This window comes from Homo sapiens, chromosome 7, assembly GCF_000001405.40.
Source record: "Homo sapiens chromosome 7, GRCh38.p14 Primary Assembly".
NCBI lineage: Eukaryota > Metazoa > Chordata > Mammalia > Primates > Hominidae > Homo > Homo sapiens.
Genome location: NC_000007.14, coordinates 65,913,411 through 65,925,849, shown reverse-complemented (window position 1 = coordinate 65,925,849; position 12,439 = coordinate 65,913,411). Strand labels below are relative to the sequence as shown.

At 42.9% G+C, this 12,439-nt stretch overlaps 1 protein-coding gene across 4 annotated transcripts in view, besides 1 other annotated feature; it reads right to left on the bottom strand.

Moving 5' to 3' along the window:
* VKORC1L1 (vitamin K epoxide reductase complex subunit 1L1) overlaps positions 1-12,439 on the bottom strand; it is a 93,787-nt gene that overhangs the window by 33,709 nt on the left and 47,639 nt on the right. The gene's annotated exons all lie outside the window — the stretch shown is intronic.
* Positions 3,975-4,157: a silencer, noted in NCBI's record as "fragment chr7:65386680-65386862 (GRCh37/hg19 assembly coordinates)". NCBI's record gives its function as "represses an EF-1alpha promoter that drives an FKBP-Casp9 reporter gene in an ReSE screen in K562 erythroleukemia cells {active_cell/tissue: K562}" and the evidence as "EXISTENCE:reporter gene assay evidence [ECO:0000049][PMID:32094911]".

Genomic DNA, 12,439 nt, shown 5'->3' with positions numbered 1-12,439 from the left:
TGTCCTGTGGTTTTATACAATTTCTTGTATTCCTTTACTCTCATTTCCTTGGGGTTTCCTAAGGGTATAGAAATAAGCACGTGCATTAAATCTATTATGTTTATCTTGGAATCTAAAATGCACTTACTCAAATTTTATCAAATCCTATATAATAAGCAATAGGTGTTACAAGCAGTAAAGGCTTTGAAGTTTTGCACCAACCTAACATATAGAGAACCTCAAAGCCCTTACTGCTTCCAACACCTATTTCTTGTGACTGAATGACAGCCCCTACCCTCAAGAAGCTTAAAGAACAGGGAAAAACATCATACTCTGAAACATAATATAATGTACTAAATACACCAAGTACCTATGGACTCAAATGAAGAGGCTGAATTCTGCCTGAGGGGTTAACAGTCACTGTGGCATTGGTATACAACACAGATTGAAGGGGTCAGAACTGGAAAGAGTGAGACCAACTCGGAGACTGTAACAGTTTAGAGCACTGAAGATGGATCCGAAGATTGAAGAAGTAAGACTGACAGGATCTGACAACTGGCTGAATTGAGGAAGAATGACTGACTCCCGGGTTTCCAGGATGACTGAATAGATAGTGAGGCCATTCAAGGGACAAAGAACACAGGAGGAAGAACAGATGACTGAGTTGAGTTTTGACATGTTGACTTTTCACATACCTCCAAGTCACACAGATAACTCCATCCAATAAGCAGCCCAAAATAAAAACCTGAAGGTTTCTAGATGGATCTGAAATGCAGATTTAGAAGTATGGTTCTAAACATGATAGCCATGAAGAAGAGTGTTCAGGGAGAATATGAGGGAAAGGGAAGATTACGGATGGAGTACTAGGGAACACCACAAGTTAAGCAAAGGACCAACCAGGAGGGAAAGCACCCATGAAGGTGATGGAAAACAGCTGGAAGCGGGGGAGAACCAGGAGAGAGAACGGTAACAGGAAGGTACAGGAGAATCTAAGGAAGAACACAATATTCTGTATCAAATGCTGAGAAAAAGATTCATAGAATACAGAGTAACAAATATTTATATTCCATATAAATAAAAACTAAGCACTTCATCATTTGTTACCACATCTGCAAAAATTACTAGATAGATTTTCACCCAATTTGAAGACCACGTGTCACATAAAAAGTTTACCATGAAGTGTACTGTCAAAGTCTAACAGTGGTTCCAGTGAGGAATACCCTGGAGGTTTTACTTGGCTAGAGGTTGGCAAACTACAACTCATGGCCAAATCTAGCCCACTGCTTGTTTTTGTAAATAAAGTTTAATCAGAAAACAGCCATTTACATTTGTATTACTCTGGCTGCTTTCAAACTATAATATTATAGAATAGTCATGTAGTTAGTTTGGCAACGATCCTATGGCCCGTGAAGCCTAAAGTATTTGCTTTCTGGCTCTTAACAGAAAAAGCTGGCTAACTGCAGTATAATGTCACTATCAATAGAGTGTGCCATTCTAGGATGAAAAGTCAGCGTCCAGATTAACAGAAGGCAAAGACGAGTTTGCTGCTAAGTGGCTGATTGGCCACTAAAGGCCTCACAATGGGTGTTTAACTTGGTGCATTGAACCTGGTCCAGGGTCTAGCTTTGGGTTTTACAATCTCAAAACCTTGAAAAACCTTGGGAAGCTGATATGCCCAGCCTCAGTAAGCCATGTATGAAGATATTAGAACATACTGATCTCACATTCCTTACTGGGAAGCCTACCCCGGCTAGATCACCCTCTGCTACAGGCTTTAAGTCTCAACACATTAAAACCTTAGGGTGGTACCACCTCATGCACTGCTATACTGGAAGGGGAAGACTTTGTAATCAGAGTAGAAATCCAACTACCCACCCATATCTCAGAAACTAGCAAGACCGATCCCATTAGCTTCGAAGCATCCCTTCTACCTGTCACTGCCAGAAGGTGAGGCTTCCTAAGTCACCGATCATCACATGAACCCACACTGCTCTGTACTTTTCATTAAAATCTAATGTCTCATTCCTTTCCTGTCCAAAACCTCTCAGCTCTGTCCTCTGAAATCCCTGCTCATTGATCAATAAGCTATTAACTTTAGAAAAATATTTCTGCCTTCTTTCGCTCTTCCCTGACAATATGAATTCTCTTGCAGCCCATTCAGCTGGAAACACTTTTTGGTCTCACACTCTTAATTTGTCAAGGCCAGGAAGGAAAATACCGTCCTTCCTTTTCATTTTTGCTGTCAGGAGTTTGCTTCTCTTTCCCTCTTGCAAATCTTCCTGCTTCTTGGAGGTGTGTTTCCATATAACTACATATGCTCCAGCCACTGCTCTCTGTTGCCACCTGCCAACCTCATAATCACACTTGGAGTCACTCCCTCACACGCTCTCATTCAAGGAAGCTGTTTCACTCCTTGCTTATCAGTCTTTCTCTCCTCCCCAATTACTATCATCTTTTTTTTTTTCTTTTTGAGACAGGGTCTCTATCGCCTAGGCTGGAGTGCAGTGGTGCAATCACAACTCACTGCAGCCTCGACCTCCCCAGGCTCAAGTGTGATCCTCCTGCCTCAGCCTCCCAAGTAGCTGGAATTACAGGCATGCACCACAACACCCGGCTAATTTTTGTGATTTGTTGAGAGACAGGGTCTTGCTATGTTGCCCAGGCTGGTCTTGAACGTCAGGGCTCAAGCGATTCACCTGCCTTGGCCTCCCAAAGTGCCATTGCACCCTGCTCCTATCATCTTTTTAAGAGATGTCAGCCTCACACAGACGAACAAGCACATCAATTATGTCCTTAATAACTCCAACTCAGTTACCTTTCCTATGATCAAATGCTCTACTTTATCATCAGCAAAAACAGGGGAAGAATAGGACAAAAGCAAAATTTGGAGAGAGAGAGAGATAATGGTTAAAATTTTTCCAAAACTGAAGAAAGACACACTAAGCCACAGATTCAAGAAGAGTTGAACCCCAAGCAGGACACGTAAATACTTTTGCAAGCACATCACAGTAAACTTTCTGAAAACGAAAGAAAATTAGCCATCTTTAAAAGCTGCCAGAGAAGGCAGGGAAGAACACAGCACTCTTAAAGCAGCAAAACTAAGACTGACAGCTAATACCAACAGAAGGAAAGAAAGCCAAAAGACAATCAACTGCCAATCCACAATTCCAGGTGCAAGTGTACATTTCGGCTGAAAATGAAGGTTAAAAACAATTTCTTCTCCAGATGAATAAAAACTGAATTTGTTCACGCCAAAGGAAGTTCTTCAGGCAAAAGAAACATGATCTGGCCAGGCGCAGTGGCTCACGCCTGTAATCCCAGCACTTTGGGAGGCTGAGGCGGGCAGATCACCTGAGGCCAAGAGTTAGAGTCCAGCCTGGCCAATGTGGCAAAGCCCCGTCTCTAGTAAAAATACAAAAATTAGCCAGAAGTGGTGGTGCAGCACATCTGTAATCCCAGCTACTCGGGAGGCTGAGGCAGGAGAATCACTTGAACCCAGGAGGCAGAGGTTGCGGTCAGCCAAGATTGCGCGACTGCACTGCACTCTAGCCTGGGTGACAGAGCAAGACTCTGTCTCAAGAAAAAAAAAAAAAAGGAACATGATCCTAGACAGAAGCACTGCAAAGATAGAGGGGGAAATAACGATTGAAAGGAGAAATACGAGGGAGACTAAATGAATACTATGTCAAACAAAATGTCTTGTGGAGTCAAAAATATGCAGAATTAAAATAAATGACAATAATGACAAAAAAGGTACGTGATTGGTAAATGAAGCCTAAATATCCAAAGGTCCACGCACTGACAGAAAAGTGATACAACTATTAATTTATATTAGAGTTCAATAAACCAAGGATGCATGGTATAACCTGCAGGGTAATGATTTAAAAGAAATGAGGTGGCTCATGCCTGTAATCACAGCACGTTGGGAGGCCAAGGTTGAAGAATCCCCGAGGCCAGGAGTTTGAAACCAGCCTGGGTAACACCGTGAGACCCGTCTCTAAAAAAAATTTTTTTTTTTTTTTTGAGATGGAGTCTCGCTCTGTCGCCCAGGCTGGAGTGCAGTGGCATGATCTCCGCTCACTGCAAGCTCCGCCTCCCGGGTTCATGCCATTCTCCTGCCTCAGCCTCCAGAGTAGCTGGGACTACAGGCGCCCGCCACCACGCCCGGCTAATTTTTTGTATTTTTAGTAGAGACGGGGTTTCACCATTTTGGCCAGGATGGTCTTGAGTTCCTGACCTCATGATCCACTTATCTTGGCCTCCCAAAGTGTTGGGATTGCAGGCGTGAGCCATCGTGCCCGGCCAAAAATTTTTTTAATTAGTTGAGCATGGTGGCACGCACCTGTAATCTCAACTACTTGAGAAGGTGAAGTGGGAAGATTGCTTGAGGCCAGGAGTTCAAGGCTGCAGTGAGCTATGATCTCGCCACTGCACTCCAACCTGGGTGACACAGCAAGACCTTGTCTCTAAAAGGTAAATTAATGTATATGAATAAGATAATACAGTGGGGGGAAATGGAATAAGATGTTTGATTAATCCAAAAGAAGGCAAGGAAAGAGAAAAATGAACATGGCACTGGTAGGGGAAATAGGAATCCTAAGACGTTAGCTTTAAATCCAAATATATTCATAATTAAATTGAACATATAAAAGGTCTATAAAATGCCTACTAAAAATACTACTATCAACACCTGTAGGATGTAGCTAACACTGTGTTTAGAGAGAAATTATAACCATAACTTCATGCATTAGTGCTCTAAGTATCAATCTCAAAAAGTTACAAAAATAACAGCCAGTTAAACCCCCCCCAAAGTAAAAGATACTAATAAATGTAAGAGAAGCAGTCTATGAAAAAGGAAACAAAAATAGTACAAATCAAAGATTAATAAAAGTGGTCAATGTGTAGAAAGACCCATATTTAACTTTCTTTCTTTCTTCTTTCTTTCCTTCTCCTTTTTCTCTTTCTCTTTCCTTTCTCCTTTCTTCCTTCTCTCCCTTCTTTTCTTCCTCCCTCCCTCTCTTCCTTTCTGTCTTTTTTTTTTTCTAAAAACAGGGACTATGTTGCCCAGGCTGGCCTTGAACCCCTGGGCTCAAGCAATCCTCTCACCTCAGCCTCCCAAGAAGCTGGGACTGCAGGCGCATACCACCGTGCCTGGCCCATCTTTAATTTTTAAAAGAGAGAAAAACAGTGTAGGAAAGAGAAAGGACACGACACCACAGAAGCTACTTAATTCTCATCTTTCAGATCCCAGCTTTTGACACCTGGCCAAGAAGGAGCCTCCCCACTCCTCCTGTTAGCTTTCTATTTTATCCTCTCCTACAACCAAAGCTCCTTTCTCAAGAGCTTCTATCTCAAATTATGTACACGAATCTATATGTTAATCAATAACGGTGTCTCCTATACCAGTCTATGCTCCAGGAGGAGAAGGATCATTCAGCAGTGAGTCCCCAGTGTGTAGCAGGGTCCAGCAGGTGGGAGAGACCCAAACATTTATTTAAAAAATACTTATTGAGTGCCCAGCATTTGTCGGGCATGGTATCAGGTGATGGGAACACAATAAACAAAATAGACAACATTGTATGTCCTCATGGTGTCTACCCTCTCATGGAGAGAGAGACGAGCAGAAAAGCAAACAGAAACAAAGCAGGGAAAGATGAGTACAGGGTTGAAGGAACTGCAATCTAAACTTATATTCAAAATTTGAAGTCGGGTGGTGAGGTGAGGAGGCCTCGCTGAGGTGAGAAAGCAAGTCATGCATGCCCGGCGGGTGTGAGGTACAGCCAGGAAGCCAGGATGCATGGAACAGAGCAAGCAAATGTAAGAAGGGAAGAGTAACAGGAGCCACAAGAAAAAAAACACCAGGGCAAGGGTAGCAGTAGATCATGGGGTCTTTAGGCCATGATGATGACTTTGACTCTGAACAAAATGGGCATCCAAGGGGTGGTTTTGGCCACCTGGCTAATTTTTTTGTAGTTTTAGTAGAGACAGAGTTTCACTGTGTCAGCCAGGATGGTCTCGATCTCCTGACCTTGTGATCTGCCCGCCTCTACTTCCCAAAGTGCTGGGATTACAGGCATGAGCCACCGCGCCCGGCCTGGCCACTGTTTATATTTTTAAAAGGTCACTCTGGCTGTAGTATTGAAAATAGACTATGAGGAAGAAGGATGGAAATAAACTCAGTCTGCTACTGCAATGATCCCAGCAGAGAGCATGGTAGCTTAGAACAAGATGACCGCAGTGGAGGTGGTGAAAACTGGTTAGGCCCAGGATATATTTTGAAGGTAGAGCCACCAAGACTTGCTCGCAGACTGGATGTGCAGCATGAGGCAAGAAAATGGTCTAAGATGACACAGAGGTTTCTGACTTTACTAGCTGGGAAGAAAAGTTGCTATTTTCTGAGTTAGGAAAGAAAAGGCTTCAGAGACCAGGAATTCAGGATCAGGAATTCAGTTTTGGACACAAGTTGAACTACCTTTTAAGTGGAAATGTCAGAGAGGCAAATGGATATATGAATTTGCAAGTTAAGTTAGAAATAAAAATTTTGGAGTGGTCAGCATATAGCTTGGTATTTAAAGTCAAGAGACTGAATGACATCAACAAGTAACCTTTGATAAATCCATCAATCCATTAATCAATGACTAATAAACATATGACTATTAGCCATCAGAGCCGTTAAGGATGAACAGGTAGTGTAGGACTATGGGGACCTGAGCTTCTCTTGGAGTGGAACCACAGCTATGCTGTTGTTTTAGTTTATTATTTATTTTTACTTATTTATTTTTTGAGAAAGGGTCTCGCTCTGTCACCCAAGCTGGAGTGCAGTGGCGCGATCACTGCAACCTTCATCTCCTGGATTCAAGCAATTCTTGTGCCTCAGCCTCCGGAGTAGCTGGGATTACAATCACGTACCATCACACCTGGATTACTTTTGTATTTTTAGTAGAGATGGGGTTTCACCATGTTGGCCAGGCTGGTCTTGAACTCTTGGCCTCAAGTGATCTGCCTGCCTCAGCCTCCCAAAGTGCTGGGATTACAGATGGGAGCCACCGCGTCCCGCCTGTTTTGTTGGTTTTTAAAGAATCTTCCTTTGCCTTCAGATATTCTCTTATACCACCTTTGAGAAAAAATTGCACAGCTAACATTAACACGACATATATTTTCTCAGTTACCTCTTATTTGATCTCCAAATTTGGTGGCTTTCGCCTTAACTGACACCATAGGTTACCTGCACTGAAGCAAGAAAGCACCTTGAAATGGATGCTGTGCATGTGTTACTGACACCTGGCTGAGAAAAGTGCCCTTTGTGGAAAGTGAAGATCATCCCAACCATTCATTTCTCTAGGTTTGACTCTTAAATCAACCCAGACCACCAGAAAGCTATGTCTTTGGACAGTATGTCTCTCCTATGTAAAAGCGCTTGCAGTGAGTTTCATGTCAGCATTATGTCTTAGTAATTTCAAAAGGAAATGGTCATACGAATGCCTTTGCTTAATTTGCTCTGGCAATGTTGCTGAAAATATTATCTACATATCTCTGTGTCCTTTATGTGAAACCCTCCAAGGGATTTCTTTTATAATCCATGGAAAAACTTTGCATTCCCTGAAGAGTTACAGGCAATGTTTCCCTTTTTAGGCAATACTGCCATGAAGTATACAATGTTTGATTCCATTTATATGATCTTCTAGAACAAGGAAAACTGTAGTAGAACAAAAGAATCACAATGGTTATCTCTAGGAGGTTGCGGGGTAGGGAACTGATTGGCAAGAGGCATGATGAAACCTTTAGGGTTGTAGTAATGTAGTAGCAAAGTATCAAAGCTCATCAACAGTGGCACTATCGAGACAGAACTGTCACTGTAGCTGTCCCTGGACTCTACCTGCTAGATGTCACTACTAACCTATCGCGACCCTGCCCAGTTGTGACACCAAGACTATTTCCAGACCATTGTCAAATGTTCCCTGGTAGGCAAAGCCACCACCCTATATAACTTGACAGAGTTTTGGCTTACTTAGGCGTACATGTTCATTAAAATTCAGAGAATATACATTTCAAATCTGTGTATTTCATTGTATGTGTATTTTGGCTCAAAAGAAAATGTGTCAAATAATGAACTAATGATATGCATGCTAAAGTACTTAGGAGAAAGTTTTTAGTGATGGATACAGGGGTAGATAATTGTATAGCAAATAAAAATGCAAGTACAAGTGAAATGTTAATGGTAGAATCTGAGTGGTGGATATACAGGCATTCTCTAGAAAATTCTTTAAAGTTTTCTGTATGTTTCATATTTTCATAATAAAATGTTGGGAAAAATTTATCATGGGAGAGGAAAGGGCATATGAGACCCAATGAGTAAGTAGCTGAGCAAAGGCAGAGGAACATGAAAAGTCTGGCAAACTGCAGGTTACTTCCAATGCCTGGAGTATAGTGTATCAAGGAAGGAGAGGTAGACAGAAGACAAATCATGGAGAGACTTACAGGAATTCTGACTGTCCTATGCAGGCAAAAAGCACTTTACACTATACCCTCATAGCCACATGCACAGCAGAATGGAAGGATAGGAAACCTAGAAGAACAATGAAGGCCTAAATCAACGCACAGAGAAAAGGTGGAGGGAAGGGGTGGAGATGAGAAACATTAAAGTAAAATCAATAGGACTTAATCACCAATTGGATTAGGAATGTGAAGATAAAGAAAAAAGAGTTGTGAGAAAGTAACCAGGACACTTTTTTGTCTCGTTGGGGCTCTTGGTGCACGGGAGAAAGTCTCACTTTGTAAAATGAGGAATTAAGTAAATGACTAATTACGTGATATGCTAATACTATCATCTAACATCCTTGAGACCTAAAACTCCTGGTGTAGAAGAAAAGGGATAAGATATAGGAGATAAAATAAACACTCTGAAGTCCTGAATTTGAATTGGGAATGTTTTAAAGATAACCATGAACTGTTATCCTAAAAAAAGATATTTCAGGCCAGGCTTGGTAGCTCATGCCTATAATCCCAGCACGTTGGGAGGCCAAGGTGGGTGGATCACCTGAGGTCAGGAGTTCGAGACCAGCCTGACCAACATGGAGAAACCCCGTTTCTACTAAAAATACAAAATTAGCCAGGCATGGTGGCGCAGGCCTGTAATCCCAGCTACTCAGGAGGCTGAGGCAGGAGAATCACTTGAACCTGGGAGGTGGAGGTTGCAGTGGGCTGAGATTACACCATTGCACTCCAGCCTGGGCAACAAGAGCAAAACTCCATCTCAAAAAAAAAAAAAAGATGTTTCCTATATCAAACAATGACCAATCTATAGCAATAAGATCTAGGTTGTGATCTTCTAATTCCATTTCCCCCTAAAAGAATCTAGGACTCTGAGCTCAGAGAAATGGCTAGTTTCAGGTAGGGGACAGGAAATGCACAAGATGAACCAAGAACATCTGGTCATACCAAACAAGGAAGCTATCGAAGGCGATGGAAGTCAGGAGAAAAGGACTTAGAAGAAGGCAGAGAAGTCTGGGTGTCAATAAGAATAATAACCACAATGGATTGAAGCACATCAAACACATTTAAATTCTATGACTTTCTAATAATACAAACTAATTGGTCAACATGGGAAATGCTAGGGAACCAACTCATTATTTTCAAAACTGGCAAATAAAGAGAAAAAAACCAGGCACATAACCTGCCTTCTCTATACAAACTGTATCACTGGGTAATCAAGCAGTAGACAAAAAGGATGTTTCCTCTTTTTTTTTTTTTTTTTTAATTTTAGACAGAGTCACGGTCTGCTGCCCAGGCTGGAGTAGAGTAGCGTGATCTTGGCTCACTGCAACCTCCGCCTCCTGGGTTCAAGCGATTCTCCCGCCTCAGCCTCCCAAGTAGCTGGGATTACAGACATACACCACCATGCCCAGCTCATTTTTGTATTTTTAGTAGAGACGGGGTTTCACCATTTTGTCTAGGCTGGTCTTGAACTCCTGACCTCAAGTGATCTGCCCGCCTCAGCAAGTGCTGGGATTACAGGTGTGAGCCACTGCACCCAGCCAGGAGGTTTCCTCTTATACAAGTATTGCAGCTAACACATGAAGAATGAATGATGGAATAGCACCATTTTGCAACACCTAATAAATTAGGTGTTGATTTAGGCATTGAATATAAATAGCCTCACCCCCAATCATGCCTCTACTATCTAACTCCCAATTTCCCAGATGGTAGGAAACTCTACTAAACCAAAAAAAAAAAAAAACTGGTTTCTTTAATAAACTGCAAGGGATGGAGAGACGAAGGGAGAATTACAGATTAAAGGTACCATCAGGCTGGGCACGCCTGTAGTCCCAGCTACTTGGGAGACTGAGGCAGGAGAATCACTTGAACCCAGGAGGCGGAGGTTGCAGTGAGGAGAGATCGCAGCACTGCACTCCAGCCTCGGTGGCAGAGCAAGACTCCATCTAAAAAAAAAAAAAAAGAGTTCAGAAAATAAGCTCACAAAGGCTGGGCGCGGTGGCTCATGCCTGTAATTCCAGCACTTTGGGAGGCTGAGGTGGGTGGATCACGAGGTCAGGAGATCGAGACTATCCTGGCTAACACGGTGAAACCCCGTCTCTACTAAAACTACAAAAAATTAGCCAGGCATGGCGGCAGAGGCCTGTAGTCCCAGCTACTCGGGAGGCTGAGGCAGGAGAATGATGTGAACCCAGGAGGCGGAGCTTGCAGTGAGCCGAGATCGAGCCACTGCACTCCAGCCTGGGCAACACAGTGAGACTCTTGTCTCAAAAAAAAAAAAAAAGAAAAAAAAAAGAAAAAAAATAAGCTCACAATCACAAATTACAAACCGAAGAGGGAGAGTTAAGTATTTGCGGGTTTTTTTGTTTTTTGAGACACGGTCTTGCTCTGTTACCCAGGCTGGAGTGCAGTAGCACAATCATGGCTCATTGCAGCCTCGAACTCCTAGGCTCAAGTGAGTTTCTCACCTCAGCTTCCCATGTACCTGGGACCACAAGGCATGTGCCACCACATCCAGCTAATTTTTGTTATTTTTTGTAGTGACAGAGTCTTGCCATGTTACCCGGGCTGGTCTCAATCTCCTGGTCGGTCTCAAGCTATCCTCCCGCTTCAACCTCTCAAAGTCCTGGACTTACAGGGTTGAGACACAACACCCAGCCAGAGGGAGAGTAAGTAGATGCAAACAAGAGAATTCTAAGAATGAAAATAATAAAACAATATAGGGGTGGAAAAGAATTAGCTTGAAAACAGCAAGGGGAAGCAGAAAGAATGCTGTTACCACTCTCTTGGACTCCATGGTATATGGGCTGTGAGAGAATGAGTAATTGCCATTAAAAAGCAGTGCTGGAAGAGGTGAGTTTCATTGAGGTAAGATTGCAAAGGGAAAGATGGGGAGGTTAAGGATGCAGGACAATTTATTTACAGAAGATATAGAGGGAAGGGATAGGAGAGACAGTGGCAAAAAAGAAGTGCCTGGGTTGGGTGCAGTGACTCACGCCTGTAATCCCAGCACTTTGGGAGGCCAAGGCGGGAGGACCACTTGAGTCCAGGAGTTGGAGACCAGCCTGGGCAACAAAGTGAGACTTCACCTCTACAAAAATTTTCAAAATTAGTTGGGCATGGTGGTATGATGGTGCACACCTGTAGCTTTGGCTACTCAGGAGGCTGAGGTGGGAGGATCGCTTGAGCCCAGGATTGCACCACTGCACTCCAGTCTGGGTGACAGAGTGAGACCCTGCCTCAAAAAATTAAATTAAAAATAAAATAAAGGCACTGAAGATTTACTGTCTCTATATTAATACACTGTACCAAATTCAAGACACATTTTTATTTTTTTATAATGCCTCTAAACTCAAGAAATAAGGGTTGGAGTCTAAGGTGTGTCAAGAGGCCATTCCAATTCCCACTTGTAGTCATTCCAGCTCTGTGTTTTGGCAGCTTTGGAAACTCTCCCATATACCTAGTACTGGAGGGAGGCCCTAAAAGTTTATTTTGGCACAAAAAGCCACACCAAAAGAACTACTCAGAAATTTTCCTTAGTGATTTCATCCATATAATTTCAATCAGACCTCTGAATGTTCATCCTGGTAACTGAATATTCTCATTCCACCACATCTCACCCCCACCCCCCTCCCTTTTTTTTTTTTTTTTGAGACAGAGTCTCACTCTGTCGCTCAGGCTGGAGTGCAGTGGCCCGATCTCGGCTCACCACAACCTCCAACCTCCCAGGTTTAAGCAATTCTCCTGCCTCAGCCTTCTGAGTAGCTGGGATTACAGGCACCCACCACCACACCCGGCTAATTTTTGTATTTTTAGTAGAGATGGGGTTTCACCACATTGGCCAGGCTGGTCTCAAACTCCTGACCTCAAGTGATCCACCTGCCTCGACCTCCCAAAGTATGGATTACAGGTGAGAGTCACCGCGCCTGCCTCTTTTTTCCCTTCTAATGGCACAGAATATTATATG